The sequence below is a fragment of the Homo sapiens genome, chromosome 15 (genome assembly GCF_000001405.40).
Source record: "Homo sapiens chromosome 15, GRCh38.p14 Primary Assembly".
NCBI lineage: Eukaryota > Metazoa > Chordata > Mammalia > Primates > Hominidae > Homo > Homo sapiens.
Genome location: NC_000015.10, coordinates 32301555 through 32329229, shown reverse-complemented (window position 1 = coordinate 32329229; position 27675 = coordinate 32301555). Strand labels below are relative to the sequence as shown.

Sequence of the window (27675 nt, the reverse complement as noted above, 5' to 3'; positions counted from 1 at the left end):
AGGCAGGAGAATCACTTGAACCCAGGAGGCAGAGGTTGCATTGAGCTGAGATCGCCCACCACACTCCAGCCTGGCAACAGAGCGAGACTGTGTCTCAAAAATTAATTAATTAATTAATTAATTAATTAATTAACATAAACAACATGTAATAGAGAGGTTCAATAAGGCCAAAAGTGGTTCCTTTCAAAATTTGAATGTAACATACCAACACTGACCTAAGACATATTAGACATTAATAATCCAATGGCTAATAAGAAAATACATTTTTTTTTTTTAGATGGAGTCTCGCTTTGTGGCCCAGGCTGGAGTGTGCAGTGGCGCAATCTCGGCTCACTGCAACCTCCACCTTCCAGGTTCAGCCAGTCCTCCCCTCTCAGCCTCCCAAGTAGCTAGGATTACAGGCATGCACCACCATCCCTGACAAATTTGTTTTTGTATTTTTAGTAGAGACGGGGTTTCATCATGTTGGCCAGGCTGGTCTTGAACCCCTGACCTCAGGTGATCCACCCTCCTTGGCCTCCGAAAGTGCTCGGATTACAGGTGTGAGCCACCATGCCAGGCCTAGAAAATACATTTTTAAATTAAAAATATTACTTCTGCAATATCTCCAGACCTAGAGGCTTCACCAGTAAATTTTGCTAAATATATAAGAAAGAATAATACCAATCTTATTACTCATGAAATTGATAAATACCAGTGAGCTTGACTGAGGAAAAAGGGGCAAGGACACAACCAATGACAGAAATAATACATGGAATTCAGTATAGTCTTCTAAAACATTACATAATGGTAAGACGATGTTATATACAATTTTGTATCTTGCATTTGAAAATGTATATGAAAAAGACATGTTCCTAGAAAAATAAAGCTCATTAGAACTCACACTTTATCTTCCTCTTCTCTCTCTGTTTCTTTGTTTTGTTTTCTTTTGTTTTGTCTTCTTTCACTCAGACATATAGGAGGTCCAGGCAGCATGAACAGCTCCCTGGTCAGAGACACATGGATTTGCTCACTGGTTACTCAAAGCTGATTCAAAGCCGATTAAAGCTGCTGCTTCATCTGGGGTCCTAACCTCCAGTGGGAAAAACATTCTTCTTTTCCTGCTGGTGTCACCCACTGTTCCACGGATCCAAAACAACACCCAATGTTTGGTACAAATTTAGTGAAACAGCTCTTTCCATTCTTAACTCATGCCAAGCATCTCAGCTTGGGGTCAGGAAAATGCCAGGGGACATGAGCTCTTCTCCTAGAGTTAGAGAATTCTCTGCCTTAGTTGCAATAAAGGAAAAGATACACATTCTTCCTACAAATGCCAAAGTAGGCTCAAAACTTGGTTCCTAGAGTAGAGTATTGAAGTCGTGGCAAAGATCTTTCCAGTGATCAAAGCAGTGGCTCGTTATGTTCCCTCAGACTGAAGCTACAGTCTCATCTTCACTTTCTGTTAGCTCCCTCCATCCTCTGCGTAGGCCCACACCTGCTTCTTACAGTTGTGTGGATTATAGCACCTCCTCTCCAGCCTCAGGACCTTTGTGAGTGCTGCTCCTTCTTCCTTGACTGCTCTTCACCAGGGATCCTCAGGGCACAGCCCTTACCTCCTGCAAGTCTTGACTTAAATGTCACTTTCTCAGGGAGGCCCACACTCATCACCATTTCACACCCACCTCCCACATGACCTTATTTTACCTGTTCTCTCTTCTCCTCTTTTTTTTAGAGTACTTATGATCTCATGTGGTACATTTTGGGGTTTTTGGTTCTTCTGTATCCGCCACTGCCATGATCAGTTAGAATGTTGGAAATCAAGGAAACTTGGTTTTTTGGCCTGTGATGAAAACTATGGGGTCTAATAGTATCTGATAAAGTGGCAGACCCTCAATTATTATTTGCTGAGTAAATGAATGAAGGTGTGTAGACAACTAGCTCTAGAAGCTTAAATGAGTGATACCATGTTTTATAATATTGGAAGAGGCCGGGAATGGTGGCTCACGCCTGTAATCTCAGCATTTTGGGAGGCCAAGGTGGATGGATCTCTTGAGGTCAGGAGTTTGAGACCAGCCTGGCCAACATGGTGAAACCTTGTCTCTACTAAAAATGCAAAAATTAGCTGGACGTGGTGGCACACGCCTGTAATCCCAGCTACTCTGGAGGCTGAGGCACAGCATCACTTGAACCCAGGAGGCAGAGGTTGCAGTGAGCTGAGATGGTGCCACTGCACTCCAGCCTGGGCAACAGAGTGAGACTCTGTCTCCAAAAACAGAAAAAAGAAAGGGGGGGAAGAAAAGAAGAAGAAGGAAGAGGAAAGGGAGGAGGAGGATTTATCATTCACTTACACTAGAAACAGTGAAAATAGATAATAGCTATAATTTACTCACATCTTATCTAAAACACAAATTCAGGGTAATTTATGAGCAAGTCATTTTCCAGTGGGCTTTCGATAGTGTGTGAATTTGGAATGAATGCTGGTACTTCCAGCTCCCTTCCACCTGCAGCACCAGGAAGCCATTGTTGTGGGGAGGCCACCAACTTGGCTGGCATGTTGCTTCTGCCTCAGTTAGTGATGATGGTGATTTGGAGAGAAAGGACACTCTGCTAGGCTCCAAATCCAAAGGATCAAGTGGATAAATGAAATGAATATCTAAATAAATATCAATTAGGTCAAAAGTTTGTTTTCATCTAAATGAAATCTGAACACTACTTAGGGCTATGAAACATAGCCAGAGGACATGGCCAGCTCTGGAGTGGGGCCTGGACTTGCTCTCCCCTGCTGGAAGTGCTTTTCCTCCCAGAGCTCAGAGCACCATGTGCGTGTGACCCCTGCCTTTTCACAGGCCATTGCCACAGGGCATCTCCCTGGTCCACCCGCCCCAAGATGAGCCAGCCTCCCACTCAGGAATTGGGTGGGGAAGGGAAAGAAAGACAGAGGAGAGAGAGACAGTCACACACAGGCAGTGGAGCTCCCCTGCACCCACCAGGGAGCTTGAGCAGCTCATCTGCAGAGCAGGGAAACATTTTTACTACCATTGGGAAGACGCTGAGCAGAGAGGTGAGGGGACAGCATTTCTTGATTTCTTGTCTCCCTGTGGCTTGTTCCACTCACAGTTCAGTTTCTCCTGTTCTTGGGGAAAAGGAGGGAAACTGTATTAGTCAGGGTTCTACAGAGAAACAGACCCAATAAGATGTGTGCATGTGTGTGTGTGTTTATATATGTTCACAGAATGTATATATGTGTATATATATGTATATGGATAACTGCATATATATATTATTTATAGAGAGAGAGAAGAGCAGGAGACAGAGATAAAGAGAGATTCATATAAAGAATTATATTCATAATTTATATAATAATTTGTTCCTTTAATCATAAAGTCTGGCAAGTCCAAAATCTGCAGGGCAGGCCAGAAGCCTGGGCACCCCGGAAAGAGTTGCATCTAGACTCTGAAGACGGTCTGGAGGCAGAATTCCCTCTTTCCCAGGGAATTCCAGTCTGTTTTCTCTGAAGGCCTTTACTGACTAGATGAGGCCCCCACACACATGGAAAGCAATCTGCCCTACTGAAAGTCTACTGACTTAGAGGTTTAGCTCATCTAAAAAATACCTTCATAGCAATTTCGAGACTGGTATTTGACCAAATAGCTGAGTAGGTTGGCCTAGCCAATCTGACACATAAAATTAACTATCACAGAAACAAAATAATCAATATAGGTAATAACTGTGCCAGAATGCTGTGATGTTTCAGGATGACCTTGTTTACATTTACATTTATTGTCAAAACTTACCTTCTCTTTTTATATGGGCAATTAAATCTGCTACTGAGGGTATCAAGTACTGATTTAATTTACGATCTTAATAGATAAGATAGGTTCCTATTTTCTCCTCTCCATAAAAGTAATAAGTTTGGAGAAACCAGGTCGGAAATACCTCTCCAGATTTTAAAGCATAACCTCTTGTTTGGAATAATAAGTATGTAAATAAGCACCATAAAATATGAAACCAAACATTTCATCATTCTTTTATATACATTATCCCTTGCATTTTTAAAAAATAAGGAACACCTTATTAGCCATATTTTCAAATGGTGAAACCAACACCCCCAGCTCAGACTCTGCCGTGGTAGGCTCCAGGGTCACTGATACCAGATCCCATGGTATTTTCACTATATCCCACTCTTTCTTTGCATGTGGCTCTTTTTTAGCTGCATTGCGGGTAAACAGGTGTGGCTCTTTTCAAACCAATTCCATGCATATGTGAAGAAAATTGATCCTGAAGTTCCTTTTGCCAAAGATGCTTATGGAGAAGTGTCTGTGTCTGGACAGACAAAAGTGTCCATTTTTGCCTCGAAGCTTGGCAAAATTGAAATTGATGATGGGGAAGCTAGAAATACTTCAGTCTACATTTCGAATCCCAGCTGCGGGGAGGCTGGTTGAGGATTGCCCATCCCTCAGTCTGGGCTGGATTCTCCCTCCAGTCTCTGGGGTTCTCTTTTCTATTCACAAGAGGGTGCTAATGAGATGGTTTAATCTCTATACCCTGTGGTCCACAAATACAAGATGCCAGCGTGGCCAATGGGGCTTCCATAAGAGTGGCAATCAGGGGTCTCAAGCTTACCATGACGTTTTGGGCCCTGGAATCAGATCATAGTTCTACAGTTGTCCTGGCACTAGAACTCATGACAAGGTTGTGACTAGACAGAAGGAGAGAAGGCTGGAGGCTGACAGGAAGCAATGTGAACAAATGCCTTCGCAGGATGCATGGGTTTGGGCAACAGATGGTCAGGGGAGGTGCTGGTGCAGACGGGCTCAGTAGCAAAGCAATAACTGTGGATGGCCATTTTATGGCTGCAGATCACAGCACATTTATAAAAGATGTGTGTTTCATGAAAATGTGCATTTCATCGTGGAAATACTGTGGTTGGAGGAGATTTCTCAAAGCTGATAAATAAGTGTAGGTGACTTAACTTGCAAAAGATGATCATATGTGAGAAAGGATGTCTCAAATTAGGAAATAACTTGTTAAGTAAAAAAGCCTCATGTGTTGATTTGAAGAAAAAGATATTTTGGTGCTCATCAAAATAAAAGTATAATAAGCTGAAGGGCTGCTTTTTTCTGTAAACATAATTTTGTATCACCAGTTTTATTTTCAACGAGGACTTGAAATTCAGAAAAAAAATTAAAGCAGAGAAATGGGAAAAGGGCAAAAAAAAAAGGACAGGAAAATAAAGCCAGAAAAAGGCAAATGAGTACAGAAAAAAATAAAGTATCCACTCAGGTTCTGGACACTTTGTTAGAACTGAGAACACACAGATCCAGAACTTCCTAGCAGTTAGTGTAAGTAGGAAATATCACTGTTCATATAATTCAAAGGGTTTTTAAGACCCAAAGAAGCATAGATATCTAACTCTGAGATCTCACAGTTCTCTGATGGTTCTAATAAGGAGGACATGGTATGAACAAATTATGCCTTACTGTTCGCTGAGGTTATATCAATGCCCGAACATTTCATCCAGCAAAGCAGTCACAACTAAAAACAGGTACATGATGGTTGCAGACAGCTTCTCAGTAGCCCAGAGAGTGAGAGCTCACCAGGGCAGAAGGTCCCTGAACCAGAGGCTGGCAGTGCACATGTGCTTTGGTCAGAGGAGAAGGACAACCATGCCCCACGGGGCTGAGGACCCAGTGGCTGGAACAAAGACATGATCCCAATTTTTTTGATACCTACTTTCTCACTTTGCCTGTGGGCCTCCACGGAGCTCCTGTGCAGCTGGCTGGACCATGGCCTATATACAATGGCTGAGTCTACACACAATCAGAGCCTGAAACTCTGTGGACTGTGTCTGCTTTATTCTCAGTAGGATTAATGACCCTCATTGAATTCCCATCGCCTCAAAGCTTGGCAAAATTGAAATTGATTATGGGGAAGCTAGAAATACTTCAGTCTACATTTCAAATCCCAACATAACCTGAGTAAGGGAATTGCATGCTTTTCTCATCGAAAGCTCAAATAACTTAGTAATGGTTCAAAATTGTCTCCTACTGGCTTCTCAATTTAGCACACTAAATGGTCTTAGAGATCATTGCTCATCTTTGGACTAAGGCAGGCACAGTAATACATGTTCATTCTTTTGGCCTGAGCTATTACAGTAGCCTCCTAATAACTTATCTTCATCATCCTCTTTTCACTCATTCTATACTGGGCACCATGTCTGATCATTTTTTTTTCTGATATTTGGATCAGTTCTATTAAACTGATAACCCTGTGATGTCTTTTTTTCCCTTCAATAGATCTTTAAATTCCAATCCTCACCCTAATCTACTCTTTCCCAATATAGCACCGTTATTCACACTGCTCCCAAAATCTATTCCATCCTCTGACTTCTCACAATTTTTTTTTGTCCTAAGACTCCATGATAATAGAGAAAAGAATTTTGGTCTTCACAGAATGTATTGACTTAATGATATTCCAAATTTCTCTTGGGTGTCAAATATATTCCTCACCAAATATGACTGAAAGAAAACTCTATTCACCATGAATTTAAGGATCTCAAAATTATAATATCTTCTCCACTCTCATAATTCCACAGCCCCTGCTGTTACTATAATGACCTATATTGCAAAAGAGTGAATTCAATTAGAGTCCAAGAGGAAAACTGCTGGTATTTTTTTCATCTTTTGCCATCCCATACTTTATAAAGTGCAGTTAGACCCCCTGTTTGCCTCCCAGCATACCAAAGTTATGTAGATTATTTTAAATAAAATCTACTGAAAGCATGCATTTTTAAGTACCCCTTTTGTGTCCCCTAAATTACAGAGGATAAAACCAGCCATAGAGGCAAATTCCTTTAGACCTTCTCCTAGAAACAAACACTATCCATTACATAAAACCTTCAATTGCAAGGACAGTTCTGTAAACCATGATATTTGATCCTGGAAGCTTCCTAGATTGAACACAAAGAAGAGGGTACAGTATTTACATACCTCCAGCTTTAAGCTGTGTGCCTGGTGTTTTTCACTCCAAGGTGGTTGAGCATCTCCCTCTACACTGCCATCTACCCCATTCCTCATCACAAATGTCAACTCTGTCTGAGCTGCCTTCCAAAGTAAGCAGAGAACTCAGGACTGGGAAACCAGATGGGGCTGGCTTGGGAAGTGTGGCCTACCTGTTCCCTCCATGACCAAGCACAACACTGTATGTGGGGAATGAAATGGGACCAGGTCCCAGAGTACTGGGGAAACAGAACCTCATATCCAATGAGGAGTTCGGGCAGGCAGGTCAAAGATGGACCTGAGACCAACTCACTGTGATGGGTGTCAACAGAAAAGAAGACATGGCCTCAGAAGAGATGCTCCCTGAGAAGCTGGGCCACTTTCTCATGTGACTGCAGAGTAATCCATCCCTGCGTGGAGCTGACAAGGCACCAAGCTGCTGGGCATGAGACCCTTCACATATCCTCTCTGATCTTCTCGATTAGCTCTGAAGTCTCTCTGGTTTGAAACCTCATGTCACTTTTTTGGTATGTCTCTGTGGCATTGGACATCTTCTGCCTCATATTAGATGCATTGTGTAGTGTTTACTTATCCCTAATTTGCAGCCACTTATCTGAGCATAGACACTAGACCACTCCATCTTTGCCTCTATAAATATCAGGTGTAGGACCTCGTACTTGACAGGTGCTCATAAGATATCTTTCTCTCCCTTTTTTTTTTTTTTTTACTTGAGTTCAAGTGATGAGGGTCTAGTAATAGGTATTGCTAAGCAGAGCAAATTCAAATAATTGTTTAGAAAAGTATTGATGACTGTATCTGATTAAAAGTATAAAAAATGGGGGAGGAGCTATGCTGAGCCCCCAATTTTAAGTTAGAGACAGGAGAATTCTGATGCCTGCCACAATTGATATCTTATAATGCTGCATTTGCAAGCTTAACATTCAATCGTTTTTCATTTAGAGTCCAAAGCAATCATTGACCATGGTGCCTGGGTGTTGGCTGTGAAGCCTGAATTCTAAAACACAATTGTAAACGTATTTTGCCTTATATTGAGATAAGCACATACAATACTTAAGACATGCAATATTTTAAAGAAATACAAAAAAATTGCTAACTGGCCACATCAGTTCTTAACTTTTTTATTAACCAGAACTGGTTTCCTCTTGCTGTTAGTTCCAGAAGAAAAGATTAAATCAGAATAGTTCTATATGTTTTACCTTGTGTATTAGGTATCAATTGTTGCACAACAAATCATCCCCAAACATACAGGCTTAAAACCACCATTAGTTCACAGTTTCTGTGGGCCAGGAAACTGGATATGGCTTGGATGCATCTTCAGCTCTGAATCTCTCACAAGGTCACCATCCAGCTGTCAGCTCAGACTGTAATCTTGTCTAAAGGTTTAATTGAGCAAGGAGCCACTCAAACTTAACTCTTGTAGAGTTGGCAGGATTCAGCCCCTTTCAGGTTATTGGACAGAGGGCTCAGCTCCTTGCTGGTTATTAGCTGAGGCCACCTCAGTTCTTGACTCTGTGGGTCTCTCCATTAGGAAGCTCACAGCATAGCAGCTGGTTTCCCTCAGACTGAGCAGAGAGCAAGAGAGAGTGCTCAAGGCAAAAGACACTGCCTTTTTGTAACTTAATCTCAGAAGTGACATCTGCTGTGTTCTGTATGTTAGAAGTGAGTCACTAAGTCCAGCTGAAACTCAGGGGAGGGCTTGCCTACCAGGAGGCAGGAATCACCAGGACCCATCAGAGACACCGTCTACCCCAGTCTGTGCTCGGGTCCTTCATGTCTCTCCCTCCTGAAATTTGATAGATTCTGCAAAAGAAAAAGCCTTGATCCACGCTGCTTTCTAGAATGTTGTAGTGAAAAGCAAGTCAGTGTGGTACATTCAGAGTAATTTTATAATTTTATAATTTAAAAATAATTGACATTACTCCCAGCATTACCAAAGTTGCCAAGATCAGCTTTTAAATGCTCACTTAGGTCATTTGTGTTTAATGCATTGAGTGTGTGCTCAATCTTCATCCCAAGACAGAGGGATTCAGATAACTGGCAAATGATATGAAGGAAAACCTTTCTGGAGTAGTCCATCTGGAGGCCACGTCAGGACTAGCCTCACAGGTAGAGTACAGGCATTCTGACTTTGGGAGCATTAAAAAGAGCATCAAACCAAATTATCTGATTCAGCCCTATATAATAGCCTACATAAGCCCCAAAGATCTCTATTTTAAATTAGAAATAAAGTTAATGTTTCACTTGAACATTCTGCAGGAAAGTGGTATGAGATCAAGGTATTATTAACTATTAACAACTGGCTGGGCACAGTGGCTCACGCCTGTAATCCCAGCATTCTGGGAGGCTGAAGCAGGTGAATCACCTGAGGTCAGGAGTTCAAAACCAGCCTGGCCAACATGGCGAAACCCTGGCTGTACTAAAAAATATAAAAATTAGCTGGTCATGGTAGTGTGCACCTGTAATCCCAGCTACTCGGGAGGCTGAGGCAGGATAATCATTTGAACCCAGGAGGCGGAGGTTGCGGTGAATCAAGGTTGTGCTGTTGCACTCCAGCCTGGGAGACGAGTGAAACTCCATCTAAAAAAAAAAAAAACCGAAAAACTATTAGCAACTTAGCATGAAGCACTCTGTCACCTGATAAGAACTGAGAAAGTGTAGCACAGGACAGATCAGGTTTGTCTTGATGGAAGAAAGGAAAGAGGAAATTACTGATGGTAATCTTGAGCCGAGCACAGAGAAAGGCAAGAAGGGATGGCTCTGGTTTCAAAGAATCCATGTCTGATTCCTCCCAAGCCCATTCTTTGTTATCTATTGTAATGTCAATACTCATATTAGGTAGGGAGTTCCCTTTAATGACCTCTAAGGATTCTTTCAGCTGGAAGAGTTGTATCCATTCATCTGCTAATCTTCTTCATCAAAGGACAGTTGGAAAGGATGCGGCATTACTCCTTACAAGAAGGTGGAAGTCTAATTTTTAAACTATGAGCTTTTACCTTAATGTGAGCCATTTCTTTTTAAGCTAGGCATTTACATGTACTCCAATATAATTCCTTAGTAGAATACATTTATTTTTGGTGCAAAACAAAATTATTTAGTCCAGAGACACCCTTCACTGGCAAAGAAAGACATTCATTGTGCAGTGCAGTAATTCAGAGAAATATTACTTCCAAGTCTTTTTAAAGTTAAAGAAGAATGTTTTAGGGCCCATTTGAAAAGTGCTATTCATATGAACTTGAAGGTCATTACTCACAGATAATATTCAGGAGAACTCCTGTCTAGGCTGAGAGCAGCCACTTCTGTGCTGTTTCAAGTTTTCAGAAACCATGGTACTGTTACTCCTCTATAAGGTAGAAAAACCATATCTAACATATTTGATTTATTCCAAAAACTCAGCAAAATCGATTTCTTTTTCACTCTTTGGAAGAAAGTACAGAATGAGGAAAATCACTTCTTAAAAAATTCATCAAAATAACTATGTTAAGCCCTTATGATTTCCAGGCCCTGAGCCCGGTTCTGGAGTCATAGAGTTTAGAAGAAAAAGATGGAAATATGCAATCCAGTGGGACTTCCTTTATCAAATGAACGCAAGGGCCTGATTTCTTTGGTAGATAATGCGTTCAACTAAACGGATCTCTTTGAGATGAGGATATTAGCTGCGCTGCACTGTCTGTACAATTGTGTCTGTACCTGGAGGAGTTTCCACAGCAGCAGAGCCTGAGATTCTATGCATTTTAGATTTAGAAACCTCATTATACCAGTTCCTACAAGAATAGGTCTCTGAAAGGACGAATCTCACAAATCAAGCTCATAAAAAATGCATAAACAATGCTTACATCATTTATAATGAGAAGATGTTCATTCCCAGCAATAGGGCAGAGCAGATAATTGAGTATCTCCCTAGTGCAGAACATTCAGAAGTACTGGATACTGTAGCAAACAGTTTCAAATGGGGAGCTGAAATTCCAACAAAGTCCCAAGACCACATTTTAAGACGAATCTGCAAACCAGAACTGTAAAGCACATGAGTGGACCTCACTGACATCTTTGTTTTATAGTAGGAGGTGGTGCTCTGGGCTGCATCAGGTAGAAATTAGACCTAGATCCACAGTAAGCCTGTCCTATATGCTGACACTGCCCCTCCCTCCCAGTAAGCCAGAGACTAGAAAAACATTCAACCTCCTGTGGGTTCAGAGAAACAACAGAGAGCCTGTTTGACTGATCGCAGGTTCTAGGTGGTAAAGTCTCCCCTAAGAATTTATAGGCAAAGGCTGATGCCTCCAGTGTATTCACGTGTGAATTCATGCTCTCCTTGTGGCTTGGGAGTGGACAAAGTAAGACACTGATAGGAATTGTTTCCTGGATGGTAATACCACTGTGACATTGTTGTGGGAAGCAAGCTCTGAGACAGAGACTGACATGCAGGAGAGGGATGAGGGAATGCTCTTGGAATCTCCACCTGGAAGTGAGGAGTAGAAAGCAGGACTGGGACTGGGCCGAGGAAGAGGGCAAGACTCAGCCAGCCTTGCAGGGAGTTCTAAAGATTACGTGGCTCTTAAGAATTATCTGGAGTAGGGCGAGAGGCGAGGCCCTTAGTGCTCCAAGTGAATCAGTCTCGGGATGCTCTGGGAGGGGGCCATGACCTTGGGTGGTGGGGCCATGTCGGAAGGGCTGGCACCTGACTGCACTGTCAGATGGGGCAGGCAGTAAGTCCTTACTCCTGAAAGGACTGTCTGTCCAGGGCTTCTGCTGGCAGCACTGTCAGTCTTGGGGCAATAAGCCCTTTACTCCTGAAGGGATATCAGGGTGGCCATCACTGTGTCACCACAGGGTTCTAGCAGAAGCAAACACAAGGCAGCTGTGAAGGGCAGGCCCTCCACCTAGGATTCCAGTTGACCCATCTAGCAGGATAAAGATAGAAAATGATGGCAGTTCTCGTAACTACAGCATAATTAATTTCAGATTTAAAAAACCAGGTGAAGCTAAAATACCAGATTTTAAATAATGGAACTTGAAAGGGAGCTGATTAGAATTCATGAATCCTAAGGTCTTTGAATTATCCTGGTTAACTGGTGGAATTAAAACTGTATAGTTAACTATATGTATTAAAATATGAAAGGGAATCTTCAAAAATAGGGAAATAAAATGTATAGCTCTCCAGCAAGATACTAAAAAGCAAAAACAGAAAAATGAGCATAATACATAGCATATAATAAAAAGAATGGAATACATCTAAATGTATTGGTAAAATAATAAATATAAACGATCAAAAGATGTTTCTTCTAAGGCACAAAATTAACATTATCTGCCACTTTATACGTAGAATCTGGAGGACCTTGAATAGCCTAACTATAATACCCCTACCCACCCTGCTCCAGTGGCAGGTCCACTAGACAACCTTCCTTATCATGGGTGGCAGAGCCCGGAAGCAAGTGTCACTCCACCCTCTTGTTACTACAAAGCCTGACTCCCTCAGCTCCTGCTTGTTCACTCTGTTTCCAAGCGCAGCCCTCATGTGGCCCCACATCATGTGGTTCCATCCTCCCCTGGGCTGTGTGTGCCTGTGACTAATAAGCTGGTGTGAACTCAACTGTCTAGTGTTGGGTGTCATGTGTCCAGTCATTTCCATAACCCCAGTGTGGGAATCTCTCCTCCACAAATGGGATGGAGACGAGATGAATACATGCCAATAAAAAGACATAGATATTCGTATTGAAATATTTTATAACAGAAAAATGTTGAGAGTAAACATGTGTATAGTATAGGGAAATAGACATATTAATATAAAAGGAAGGAAAATATATAGCAGACATTTTCTAATCAGAAGAAAGCCACCATGGTATTATTACCATCCAGAAAAATAAACCATACAGTAAAATGTATCATTAGGAATAAATACATTCAGTACATGAGGGTCAAGTATACAACTCCTCAGAAATAGACAACAGTTTTTGTCTAAACCTAAGAACATAATATCAACTATGCACAGTCAGAACTTCATGAAGAAATTGGTAAGTAAAGTGATCACATATTTGTCAAGTGTGTCAATATTTAACTGCAACAAATAATTAGAAAGTACATATTCTCATTCACTCATGGAACATTTATAAAAATGGGCTATGTGCCATAAATACAAGAAAATTTTCAATAAAGATATGCAGACGTTATCCAATTGTTCTTCAGTCGTAAGGCAATGCAATTAGAAATCAAAATAAAAAATAACAAAAAAGATTGTATGTTAATATTTTAAAATCCTCATAAGTCAGTCAAATAACAATTTTTATTTGTAATCATAAGAAAACATTTGTATTAGTAATATATTGTTGCATAACAGGTCGCCCCCCTACTTAGTGATTTCAAAAACAATAATCTTTGATGATCTCTCATTTGTGGGTGGGTCATGTACTTAGGAGCAGCTCAAATATATATTTCTGGTTTGGGAGCTCTCAGGAGGCTTCAGGCAGATGTCTGGGGTAACGGCCATGTAAAGACTTGAACTGGTCGGGGGCTCCGCTCCGCACTGCCGGGCGCCGCCTCGCCATGGACGCGCGCGGGGGCGGCGGGCGGCCCGGGGAGAGCCCCGCCGCCGCCGCGCCCCCCCAACAGCAGCCGCCCCGGGCCGAGGCGTTGCCCCCGGAGGCGGCGGAGGAGGGCGGCCCGCGGGGCCAGCGCCGCAGCCGCGACAGCTAGTGCGGCAGCCCCGGCATCCCGGGCACGGCGAGCACGGCCAAGGGCAGCCGGAACGGCCGAGTGCGGGCGCGGCTAGCCGCAGTGCAGCCCCGCGGGGCCCGAGGGCCCGGCGCGGGGGCCCAAGGTGTAGTTCTTGTGCCCCGGGGCGGCCTCGGGGCCGCGCCGGGGCCGGGGCCGGGGCCGGCGGAGGAGGCCGGCAGCGAGGTGGCGGCCCGGCGGCGGAGCCGCGCCGCAGCCGGGCCAGCTTCATGCAGCGCCACTTCGGCGCGCTCCTGCAGCTGGGCGTCAACAAGTTCTCGCTGCGGATGTTCGGCAGCCAGAAGGCCGTGGAGCGCGAGCAGGAGCGCGTCCAGTCAGCGGGGTCCTGGATCATCCACCCGTACAGCGACTTCAGGTTCTACTGGGACTTCACCATGCTGCTGTTCATGGTGGGAAACCTCATCATCATCCCAGTGGGCATCACCTTCTTCAAGGACGAGACCACCGCCCTGTGGATCGTGTTCAACGTGGTCTCGGACACCTTCTTCCTCATGGACCTGGTGTTGAACTTCCGCACCGGCATTGTGATCGAGGACAACACGGAGATCATCCTGGACCAAGAGAAGATCAAGAAGTACGTGCGCACGTGGTTCATGGTGGACTTCGTGTCCTCCATCCCCGTGGACTACATCTTCCTCATCGTGGAGAAGGGCATCGACTCCGAGGTCTACAAGACGGCGTGCGCCCTGCGGATCGTGCGCTTCACCAAGATCCTCAGCCTCCTGCGGCTGCTGCGCCTCTCGCGCCTGATCCGCTACATCCACCAGTGGGAGGAGATCTTCCACATGACCTATGACCTGGCCAGCGCGGTGATGCGGTTCTGCAACCTCATCAGTATGATGCTGCTGCTCTGCCACTGGGATGGCTGCCTGCAGTTCCTGGTGGCCATGCTGCAGGACTTCCCGTGCAACTGCTGGGTGTCCATCAATGGCATGGTGAACCACTGGTGGAGCGAACTGTATTCCTTCGCACTCTTCAAGGCCATGAGCCACATGCTGTGCATTGGGTATGGCCGGCAGGCGCCCGAGAGCATGACGGACATCTGGCTGACCATGCTCAGCATGATTGTGAGTGCCACCTGCTACGCCATGTTCATCGGCCACGCCACTGCCCTCATCCAGTCGCTGGACTCCTCGCGGCGCCAGTACTAGACGTACAAGCAGGTGGAGCAGTACATGTCCTTCCACAAGCTGCCGGCCGACTTCCGCCAGAAGATCCACGACTACTACGAGCACCGTTACCAGGGCAAGATGTTCGACGAGGACAGCATCCTGGGCGAGCTCAACGGGCCCCTGCGGGAGGAGATTGTCAACTTCAACTGCCGGAAGCTGGTGACCTCCATGCCGCTGTTCGCCAATGCTGACCCCAACTTCGTCACGGCCATGCTGACCAAGCTCAAGTTCGAGGTCTTCCAGCCGGGTGACTACCTCATCCGCGAAGGCACCATCGGGAAGATGTACTTCATCCAGCACGGCGTGGTCAGCGTGCTCGCTAAGGGCAACAAGGAGATGAAGCTGTTCGATGGCTCCTACTTCGGGGAGATCTGCCTGCTCACCCGGGGCCACCGCATGGCGAGCGTGCGGGCCAACACCTATTGCCGCCTCCTTTCGCTGAGCGTGGACAACTTCAACGAGGTGCTGGAGGAGTACCCCATGATGCGGCGCGCCTTCGAGACGGTGGCCATCGACCGCCTGGACCGCATCGGCAAGAAGAATTCCATCCTCCTGCACAAGGTGCAGCATGACCTTAACTCGGGCGTATTCAACAACCAGTAGAACGCCATCATCCAGGAGATCGTCAAGTACGACGGCGAGATGGTGCAGCAGGCCGAGCTGGGTCGGCGCCTGGGCCTCTTCCCGCCGCCGCCGCCGCCGCAGGTCACCTCGGCCATCGCCACGCTGCAGCAGGCCGTGGTCATGAGCTTCTGCCCGCAGGTGGCGCGGCCGCTCGTGGGGCCGCTGGCGCTCGGCTCGCTGCGCCTCGTGCGCCGCCCGCCCCCGGGGCCCGCACCTGCCGCCGCCTCACCCGGGCCCCCGCCCCCCGCCAGCCCCCTGGGCGCGCCCGCCAGCCCCCGGGCACCGCGGACTTCGCCCTACGGCAGCTTGCCCGCCGCCCCCCTTGCTGGGACCGCCCTGCCCTCGCGCCGCCTGAGCCGCGCGTTGCGCCCACTGTCCGCCTCGCAGCCCTCGCTGCCCCACGGAACGCCCGTCCCAGCGGCCTCCACACGCCCGGCCAGCAGCTCCACACCGCGCCTGGGACCCACGCCCGCTGCCCGGGCCGCCGCGCCCAGCCCGGATCGCAGGGACTCCGCCTCACCCGGCGCCGCCAGCGGCCTGGACCCCCAGGACTCCGCGCGCTCGCGCCTCTCGTCCAACTTGTGACCCTCGCCAACCGCCCTGCGGGCCCAGGAGGGCCGGAGGCGGGGCCGTCATCCAGACCAAAGCCATGCCATTGCGCTGCCCCGGCCGCCAGCCCGCCCAGAAGCCACAGACAAGACATAGGTAGCCGTAGTTGGACTGACGGGCAGGGCCGGCGGGGCAGCCCCCTCCGCGTCCCCGGCCGTCCCCCCTCATCGCCCTGCGCCCACTCCCATCGCCCCTGCCCCCGGCGGCGGCCTCGCGTGCGAGGGGGCTCCCTTCACCTCAGTGCCTCAGTTCCCCTAGGTGTAAAACAGGGACGGGGCGGCCCAGTGGCTGAGAGGAGCCGGCTGTGGAGCCCCGCCCGCCCCCCGCCCTCTAGGTGGCCCGCCGTCCGATGAGGATCGTTTTTTAAGTGCAATACTTGGCCCACCGGCTTCCCGCTGCCCCCATCGCGCTCATGCAATAACCGACCCGGCCCCGGTCCACGCGCGTCCCGCGGTGACCTTGGGGAGCAGCACCCCAGCTCCCTCCAGCACTGGCACCGAGGGGCGGGCCTGGTTGCGCCGGGCGCGGGGGCGAGGCTGGGGTCCCGCCACCGTGATGAATGTACTGACCAGCTGAGGCAGCAGTGCCCCCACCGTGGCCCCTACGCCCAATTAACCCCCACACCCCCATTCCGCGCAATGAACGACAGCATCGGCAAAAAAAAAAAAAAAAAAAAAAGACTTGAACTGGAGAACCTACTTCCAAGGCAGCTAACTCACATTTCTGGGAAGTAGGTTCTGAGAAGTCCATTCCTTCCCACACAACCTCCTGCCCCAGGGCTGCTTGAGTGTCCTCTCAGGGTGGTGGCTGACTTCTTCCAGAAATGAAGAGATGTAAGAGCCAGGGAGAGCCAGGCAGAAGTTACAGGTCCACTAGACAACCTACAGTATGGCAAATTACAGTTGCCTGTTTCCTAGAAAAATTTATACCAGCTGAAGTAATTACAGGAGATAGAAAACTTTAATGGTCCTACATGAATTAAATGAATTACATCAACTCTTGAAAATTAACTTTGACAAAGTACCAAAGATGTGTTGCTAATAAATTCTATTCAAGGTACAGATACTTCTAGTCTTATATCATCTGTACTAGAGAATAGAAAAAGAAACAGAAATAAATATATAAAAATATGTGAGAATAAAGCATTATAGTCCAAGCTCGTTTATGGAGAGAGATGCAAATATCCTGAATTTAAAAAAATAAAGTATATACTTTACTCACAGAAAGCAATATACCTAAAATTAAATCTAACATAGATATGCAAAACATTTATGCAGAAGTAAATGTAGCATTGTCTTTCAACACAGAAAATAAACTAAAAATGAATGAGTAGATAGGCAAAGTTTTTGTATCAGAGGCCTAAATATTATGAAGATATTTAATAATTAAATGCAATTCAAATATAAATACCAGCAGGGTATTTCATTGAAAAAAGTTAAATATAAAATTTATATGAAAGTGTATAGGGCCAAGAAAAAAAAATTTTGGAAAAGAAGAACTGTGCAGTAAAGTGTTAACTCAGCAGGCCTGGGCTGCCCAAACCCTGCATATTCCGAAGGGCTTCAGGACAGTCCCTGACAGGCTCCTGGAGATAACCTCTGAGCCTTTGTAATATTCTGTGTGATTTGAGTGACTTTGTAAACCTGAAGCTTTGGGTCACACCACATGCTATCAACATGCTTTATAGTGAACACCTGTTTATGTATGCCTGGGCCTTGGGTCACATTGTGTCACTTTGACCTCTGGGGGTGGCAGACAGCTGACTGGAGACTGAGTGGTTGAGGTCAGTCATGTGGAGCACAACTGGAAGCCCATGCCTCCTCCTTAGTGCTGGACTCTGCTGTGTGCACCTTTTTCCTTGCTGCTTCTAATCTATATCCTTTCACTGTAATTAACAATAGCTGTGAGTCTAACAGCTGTCTGTGTCCTGTGAGTCTTTCTAGCAAATCGTGCACTGGAACCAAAGTGGGTGGGCACTCACCAACTAAAACTATCAAACCTACTAGGAATCTATGAAAATTAAACAACGTGGCAGTACATAGACATAGCCAATAGGCAAAAGAGAATCAAACCTTAAGTGCAAAGAAATGCATTGCAGATCAGCAAGTAAGAGGTAAATTATGGGATAAAGTGATCCAAACACTGTTTATTCAGGAAAAATGTAGATTTTTATCAGACACCGTTTATAAAAATGTTTCAGATAGATTAAAACCTAATAGTGAGCAGCGAAATTAAGCATGTCTTTGGAAGAATAAGGATCATGTTCTTGTTCTCAGGATGGGGACAGATTTACTAATGTAGACAATCATAAGAAAATAGGTATTATAATAATTTGACAACATTAAAGTTAAACATACCTGTATGCAAAAAGACACCATAAGCCAGCAAGGATTAGGTATCATGTATCTCTAACCATGTGATATAGCTGACAGGGGCTTAGTATATTCAGATTATACATCAATCAAGTTAATTAATCCATTCAAACAAATCCTTATTGAATGTCTATGTGCCAGGCCCTGTTCTAGTCACCAGGGTAACTGTAGGAAACAAAACTAATATCCTCCCCTCATAGGAGAGGCAGACACTAATAAATACGTCATTACATATGTTGATAAACCTCAGATTTCAGAAAGTACCAAGGAGAGAACTAAAGCAGGTGGGAGAATAGAGCTTCGTGAGAGATGGGAGATGCTATTTTAGATTGGCTGTTCATAAAAAGAATAATTTTGAACCCAATGGGTTATGTAAAAATCAGTATAGAATAGAAAAATGACCCAATAGAAAAAGACAATTTTCAGCCGGGTGCGGTGGCTCACACCTGTAATCCCAGCACTTTGGGAGGCTGAGACAGGTGGATCAGTTGAGGTCAGGAGTTCGAGATCAGCCTGGCCAACATGGTGAAACCCCGCCTCTAGTAAAAATACAAAATTTAGCCAGGTGTGGTGGCACACACCTATAGTCCCTGCTACTTGGGAGGCTAATGCACAAGAATCGCTTGAACCTGGGAGGCGGAGGTTGCAGTAAGCTGTGATCTTGCCACTACGCTCCAGCCTGGGCGACAAAGCAAGACTGTCTCAAAATTTAAAAAAAAAAAAAAGAAAAAGACAATTCTTGATTGAATGAACTGAATGCCCAATAAACATTTGAAAAGATCTCTGTAATGTATTTAACATAATTTTACATCTCTGTTCATATTAGAGAATTTATGGGGTTTTTAATAAAACACTTGGCCCTGAGTTGATAATTTTTGAAGCTGGGTGATAGGTTAATGGTGGTTGATTATATTATTCTCACTCTCTGTCTCACTCATTACACACACACACACATGAAATCATACATGATGATTTATACAGTTACTTATAGTTTACATAATTTATATATTTAACATAAATATAAGTATAAAAATAATTATTATAAATATAAATTATATGAAAATAATTTATAATGAATTCTAAGGTAATTAAGACACAAATAACAAATTTTAGGACTGAAACAGAGATATGGCCACAGATCATACAGGTATTAAAAAATAACTAGTAAATCTATGAAAATCTTTATACAAAATTATCTTTATACTATGAAAATCTTTATACAAAAATTGCTGAAAAACAGACAACTTCCTCCAAGCATATGATTTATTAAAGTGCATTCAAAAATATAAAGTCTTCACAACCCTATAATTATAAAATTGAATCTGTAATTAAACAATTTGTCATCAAGAAATGCCAAGTCCCAAAGGATTTACTGATGATTTTTACCACCAAACATTTGAGGAAGAAATAAGAAGTCATATTACACAAATCATTCTAGAGAATAGAAGAAGAGAAAATACTTTCCAATGAGGGAAAGATAATCTTGGTCACAACCAAAACCAAAATAAGAGTATCGGAAAAAATAAAATTGCTCTTGAATTCTTAATAAGTTACTCTAAACTCTTGAAAGACAATTTCTCTCTTGAATATGACTTAAAAATAAATCCAAGCCAGGCGCAGTGGCTCATGCCGGTAATCCCAGCACTTTGGGAGGCCAAGGCAGGCGGATCACTTGAGTCCAGGAGTTCGAGACCAGCCTGGCCAACATGGTGAAACCCCATGTCTACTAAAAATACAAAAAAATTAGCCAGGCGTGGTGGCGGGTGCCTGTAATCCCAGCTACTTGGGAGGGTGAGGCAGGAGGACCCCTTCAACCTGGGAGGCAGAGGTTGCAGTGAGCCAAGATTGTGCACCACTGCACTCCAGCCTTGGCAACAAAGTGAGACTGTGTCTCAAAACATAAAACTACAAAATAAATCCAAATAAAAACATTAGCAAACTGAGTCTAGTGACATATACATAAAGGAAAATACATCATGGTCATGTTGGGGGCCAGGGATACAAGATTAGTTTAACATATGAAAATCAATCAACATAATTCTCCATGAAAAAAAACATTTTAAAAAATTGAACTGTCTAGTTATGATTGTTAAAAAAGAAACTATCACTATATTAGAAATAGGAATACACTTTCTAAATGTGAGAAAGGTGTTTTTATATTGAATGAAAAAATGTTGTAAGAGCATTCTCAGAGATTAGAAATTAAAACAACAGGATGTCTGCTCTTACCATTGTTATTCAACATGATACTGGAGGTGCTAGTCTGTGCACTGAGGCAAGAGATAGCCAGAAAAGCGTGTATCATTTTCAAGTGCCAGAATAATGAAAATGCTCAAAAAAGCAAAAAGGATGGGGCATATCAGAGAGATATAAAAGTGACCCTGATATAAAATAAATAACATGGTATTGGCTTACAACCCAAAGTATAAAATCAATATACATGAGGTTACACTGATATAAATAAATGATTAAATGAACAAGTAAATACAAAAGAAAGAAGAAGGACAACTCTTTGTAGAAGAATTCCAGATAATATGAATAGATACTGTCTCTTCCAGGAATTGGACCTTAGTGTCTACCTCCCAGGCCACCTTGTGCCTGGCCTGGACTTAGTGATTCACATGCAAGACTAGAGTATTGAAAGCCGGGAAAGAGTATCTGTGTGGTAGAGAAACCTAGCAAACGCCTCCTTGACCACATGATCAAGGTGAACATCACCAGTAATGAGGCATGTTGATATCACATCCCCTTGATATGAAGTGATGAGAAGGAAGCTTAACCTCTGCAGAATTTTTTCCAAAAGCTCATAATTCCAGCCTAATCAGGAAAAAAATAATCAGACAAACACAAATTAAAGAGCATTCTAAGGACCTGACCAGTAATCTTCAAACTGTCGATACACAGTAACAAGGAGAGGCTAAGAGTTGGCCACGGGCCAGAGGAACCCAAGGAAACGTAATGATTAAGTGCCAGATAGTATCCTGAACTGGATACTGGGAACAGAAAAAGAACGTTGGTGTAAAAACTTAGTGGAATGCAAATACATTACTGTTAATGAAAATTCAGAATTTAATATTGGTTTCTTAGTTTTGGCAAACGTAGCATGGTTGTGTAACATGTTAACTTTAAGGGAAGCTGGATAAGATAACTCTCTTTACTTTTTTTGCAGCTTTTCTGTAGATCTAAAATTATTCCAAAAGTAAAAAGTTTATTACATAAAAGAAAGAAGTCACAAAACTCTTATTTTAAGACTTACATGGCAAATTAAGTGGCCATGATTAAACAAGTCATATTTTTTCTATGTATGTATGTATTTATTTTTAAAATTGGTTAATTTATACATATATATTTTTAAATTTTACTTCAAGTTCTGGGATACACGTGCAGAATGTGCAGGTTTGTTACATAGGTATAGAAGTGTCATGGTGGTTTGCTGTGCCTATCAACCTGTCATCTAGGTTTTAAGCGCCGCATACATTAGGTATTTGTCCTAATGCTCTCCCTCCCCTTGCCCCCCACTTCCCTACAGGCCCCAGTGTGTGATGTTCCCCTCCCTGTGTCCATGTGTTCTCATTGTTTAACTCCCACTTATGAGTGAGAACATGCAGTGTTTGGTTTTCTGTTCCTGTGTTAGTTTGCTGAGAATGATGGCTTCTAGCTTCATCCATGTCCCTGCAAAGGACATGAACTATATTTACTTTTTTTTTTTTTTTTTTTTTTTTTTTGAGACGGAGTTTCACTCTTGTTGCCCAGGCTGGGCAATGGTGCAATCTTAGCTCACCACAACCTCTGCCTCCTGCTTCAAGTGATTCTCCTCCTTCAGCCTCCCGAGTAGCTGGGATTACAGGTATGTGCCACCACGCCTGGCTAATTTTTAGTAGAGACGAGGTTTCTCCATATTGGTCAGGCTGGTCTTGAACTCCCAGCCTCAGGTGATCCACCTGCCTTGGCCTCCCAAAGTGCTGGGATTACAGGCGTGAGCTACCATGCCTGGCCTATATTTAATTTTAATTGACAAAAAAATTGTATGTTAAAGGTATACAAAATGATGTTTTGATATATGTGTACAATGTAGAATGTTTAAATGGAGCTAATTAATATATGCGCCACCTCACATACTTATTATTGTCTTGTGATGAGAACTTTTAATATTTACTCCCTTAGTGATTTTTAAGTATACAATACATTGTTGTTAAGTACAGTCACCATGTTGTACAATAGAGCTCTTTCAGTCATTCCTCCTGTCTGGCTGAAAATTTGTGTCCTCTGACCATTATCTCCCCATTTCCTCTTCTCCCTAGCCCGTGGAACCACCATTCTGAGCTCTACTCTTAGAAGGTTTTTAGATTTCATATGTATGTGAGATCACGTGATATCTTCCTTCCTCCCTCCCTTCTTCCTTCCTTCCTCTCTTTCTCTCTTTTCTTTTCTTTCTTTCTTTCTCTTTCTTTCATCTCTCTTTCCTTCCTTCCTTCCTTCCTTCCTTTCTCTTTCATCTCTCCTTCCTTCCTTTCTTCCTTCCTTTCTCCCTCTTTCTTTCCTTTCTTTCTTTCTTTCTTTCTTTCTTTCTTTCTTTCTTTCTTTCTTTCTTTCTGTCTTCCTCCTTCCTTCCTTCCTTCCTTCTTTCAGACAAGGTCTCACTCTGTCATTCAGGCTGGAGTGCAGTAGTGTGATCATAGCTCACTGCAGCCTTGAACTCCTGGGTTCAAGCGATCTTTCTGCCTCAGCACCCTCCAAGTAGCTGGGACCACAGGCTATATCACCATGCCTGACTAATTTTTTAAATTCTTTTTTTTTTTTTGTAGAGACAGGGTCTCCCTATGTTGCCCAAGCTGGTCTCAAACTACTGGGCTCAAATGATCCTTCCTCCTTGGCCTCCCAAAATGTTGGATTGCAGGTGTGAGCCACTGCACCTGGTTCATTATTTGTCTTTCTGTGCTTAGCTTATTTCGTAAAGAAGTCAATATTAAATATTAAAAGTTATTATAAAGATATATTAGCAAGACAGTATGGTAGGGACATAAATATAAACACACATACCAACAGAACATGACAAAAGAACAAAACCAGCCGCATGCATACTCGATGGAGACAAAGGTAACACTGCAGAATGGTGAAGGAAGAACAGTCATTTTAATGACAGTGTTGGCTTAATTGAGTATTCATGTTCAAAAAAGAAATTTGAGCCTTATTTCACATCTCATAGACACACACTATAACTTCCTTGTGGAGTTTAAATCTAAATGCAATAAGTGAGCAATAAAAATTTTAGAATATATTCTAACAGATTATATTAATGATCTTGGTGTAGGAACAGATTTTTTAAAACACTATATAGGAAACTTTAAACATAAAAAAGATTGATAAGTTAGACTACACTAAAATATTGAATATATCTTCAATGAAATACAATGTTTAAATAATGAAAACATAAATCACAGAGTAGGAGAGAATATTTTAAGTATGGCAGCGAAGGTCCTATGCCTAGATGATATAAAGTGCTTCTAAAAGCCAGTAAGAAAAAGACTCAATTAAAACATTGGGAAAACGTTTGGATAGGCACTTCATAATAAAAGAGTATTCAAATGATCAATGCTCACATTAAAAGTGGTTCAACATCGTTAATCATCAGGAAACTGCAAAGTAAACCAACCAAGAGATAACACTGTATACTCATCAAGAGGCCTACATTTTTTATTTTATTTGCTTACATTTTTACTTTAGATTCAGGGGGTACATATACAGGTTTGTTACAGGGGTATATTGCATGATGCTGAGGTTTGGGCTTCTATTGATCCCGTCATCCATGTAGTGAACATACTGCACGATAGGAAGTTTTTAGCCCTTCTCCCCTCTTTTTCCTCTTTTGGAGTCCCCAGTGTCTATTGTTCCCATCTTTATGCTCACATATACCCACAATATAGCTCCCACTTATAAGAGAACACGTGACTTTTGGTTTTCTGTTGATGCATTAATTCACTTAGGATGGTGGCCTCCGACTGCATCCATGTTGCTGCAAGGGATATTATTTTATTCTTTTCTATGGCTGCATAGTATTCCGTGGTGTATAGGTACCACATTTTCTTTATCCGATCCAGAGTTGACGGGCACCTGGATTCCATGTCGTTGCTATTATGAATAGCACTGCAATGAACATATAAGCTCATGTGTCTTTTCAGTAAAATGGCTTATTTTCCTTTGGGCATACACCCAGTAATAAAATTGCTGGATCAAATGGTACCTCAAATCTTAGTTCTTTGAGAAATCTCCAAACTGCTCTCCATAGTAGCTGGAGTAATTTACATTCCCACCAACAATGTATAAAATTTCCCCTTTCTTTACAACCTCACCAACATCTGTTATTTTTTGACTTTTAATATTGGCCATTCTGACTGATGTGAGATGATATCTCATTGTGGTTTTGATTTGCATTTCTCTAGTGATTAATGATGTTGAACTTTTTTTTTCATCTGTTTGCTGGCCACTTATATGTCTTCTTTTGAGAAGTATCTGTTCACGTCCTTTGCCCACTTTTTAATGGGGTTATTTGTTTTTTGCTTGTTGATTTGTTTAAGTTGCTTATAGATGCTGCTTTGTTGGATGTACAGTTTGCAAATATTTTCTCTCATTCTGTAGGTTGTCTGTTTACTGTGTTGATTTTTTTTGTTGTTGTGCAAAATCTCTTTAGTTTAATTAAATCCTACTCACCAATTTTTGTTTCTGTAACAGTTGCTTTTGGGGACTTGGCCAAAAATTCTTTGCCAAGGCCATGCTAAAGAAAGGTATTTTCTATGTTTTATTCTAGCATTTTTACAGTTTCAGGTCTTACAATTAAGTCTTTAATCCCCCTGAGTTAATTTTTGTATATGGGCTAAGTGTCCAGTTTCATTCTTCTGCATATTATTAGGCAGTTTTCCCTGCACCATTTGTTGAATATGGAGTCTTTTCCCCATTACTTGTTTCTGTTGACTTTGTCAAAGATCAGTTGGTTGTAAGCGTGTGACCTTATTTCTGGGTTCTCTATACTGTCTCATTGGTCTATGTGTCTCTTTTTGTACCAGTACCATGCTGTTTTGGTTACTGTAGCCTTGTGGAATAGTTTAAAGACTTTACCAAAAAACTCCTAGACCTGGTAAATGACTTCAGTAAAGCTTCAGGATACAAAATCAGCATACACAAATCAGTAGCATTTCTATATACCAATAGTTTTTAAGCTGAGAGCCAAATCAAGAGTGAAATCCCATTCAAAATAGCACCACCCCCCAACAAATTAAAATACTTAGGAATACATCTAACCAAGGAGGTGAAAAATCTCTACAAGGAGAACTACAAAACACTACTCAAAGAAATCATAGATGACACAGACCAATGGAAAAACATTCCATGCTGGTGTGTTGAAAGAATCAATATTGTTAAAATGTCCATACTATAGATTCAGCATTATTTCTATCAAATTACCAATGCAATTTTTCACAGAATTAGAAAAACTGTTCTAATATTCATATGGAACCCAAAAAGAGCCAAAGTCATTCTAAGAAAAATAAAACCAGAGGCATCACATTACTTAACTTCATGATGGCTAAAATTTAAGGATTGACAGAAACACATTATATTACTGGTGTAGGTATAAATTATTACCATTAATTTGGAAAACTATTGACAGTATGTCAGTTTTGAACAAAATCATACCCTATGAGTTAGCAACTCCACTTTTGGGTACACACCCAGAACATGATTATCAAAAGGCATCCAAGTTTTATTTCATAAGCACCTAAGGATGTGGATCAAAATGCAAATCTGCTACACAAAATTAGTAGCCAGAGGGTTCTTGGTGAGTCTGGAAGCAAAGCACAGCATTGCTTTTTATTACTCAGCCGTCATGGCCCAGTTGCCTTTGGCAGGTGAGGCCAGCTGGCCAGTAGCTCAGATGGAGCAGGTATGAGGGGGTAAGAGCAGTGGTCCATCTGTCACTGGAGAAGCCTAGTCACCTGGGCAGAATATCTTGAACCTAGGATAAGTTCATCCATGGTAGACCAACTCTGTGATGGAGTTATGAGATGGGGAAGGAGGGTCTGGCACCATGCAACAGGATTTCCCCCAAAGCTCAGCACTCCAAGGAGCACATCAGCATCAGGAATGTCTGCTGGAAGCCAGCGGCTGTGGAGGAGGGGCAGTAGCCACTGAGCCTAGGTTCAGACCTTCAATCCCCTTCAGTCCTCTTGACTGGCAAGAGAACAGCAGAGTCTATTAGAGAGGAATTACCATTCCAAGCAAGAATTTAGGCCACATCTTTCAGAATGAGACCATTGAGTTGAGGTCCACTTAGCAGGGAAAGTGGCTTCAGGTTGTGGTTGACTGTTTAATTACACCCTGCTGTTCACTCTCTTCACCATTGTATGCAAAGTACAGCATCTCTGACAAGCAAGGAACACTGGCTTGCCCCACAGTGGCTGGCTGGGGTTGATGAAATGAGCAGCGAAGTAGCAGTGTGCCCAGTCCAAGCAGAGACTACCTCTAGCAGGGGCATGACATTCCCCAAGAGAGGGCATCTCCTTTAGCCTGGACCTTGGAGCAAAAGCAACCCATGGATCAGACCAATAGACAACATGCAGCCCTCATCTAACCCAAGTGGAATATAGCTGTTGGTATAAGCCCCCGAGATTTTGAGGTTGTCCCCACAGGAAAGCAAACTAGCATAACACTGAATTGCTGAGCAAGTGGGTGGTTAATTAATAGCTCTCTTTCCCAACTAGAGCTTCCCTGAAAGTCCGAGGAGGCCTGGAGCATGCAGGGAGAGGACAAGCAGCCTCGGAGAGAAAGAGGGGAGGTACAAGTGACCTGGATGCAACACGGCCTGGCCCAGGAGGAATTGGATACTCTTAAGGGATATTTCACACAAGTCATATGAATCTGGAAGACTACCCCAGATCCATATAGGTATATAGGACAAGGCCAGACTACTCTCTATCCCCAACATGTCTCTCAACTGGAGAGTACTAATAAATACTGCCAATTCTTACTACCCAATTCCTGTTTTAATCAGTTATAAAATACAATTTAGTATATTGCCGTGGATTTTTATATTGGTAATATTTTCCTAAGGTGGCTTGCCAATTATCCCAGCCCCATTTGTTGAATAGGGTGTCCTTTCCCCACTTTATGTTTTTGTTTGCT

General features: G+C 43.2%; 1 long non-coding RNA gene and 1 pseudogene across 10 annotated transcripts in view; both read left to right on the top strand.

The window, feature by feature from the left end:
- Positions 1-27675, top strand: part of LOC102724078 (uncharacterized) — a 187103-nt gene that overhangs the window by 13838 nt on the left and 145590 nt on the right. The gene's annotated exons all lie outside the window — the stretch shown is intronic.
- On the top strand, positions 13610-16785 carry LOC644110 (hyperpolarization activated cyclic nucleotide gated potassium and sodium channel 2 pseudogene; annotated as a pseudogene).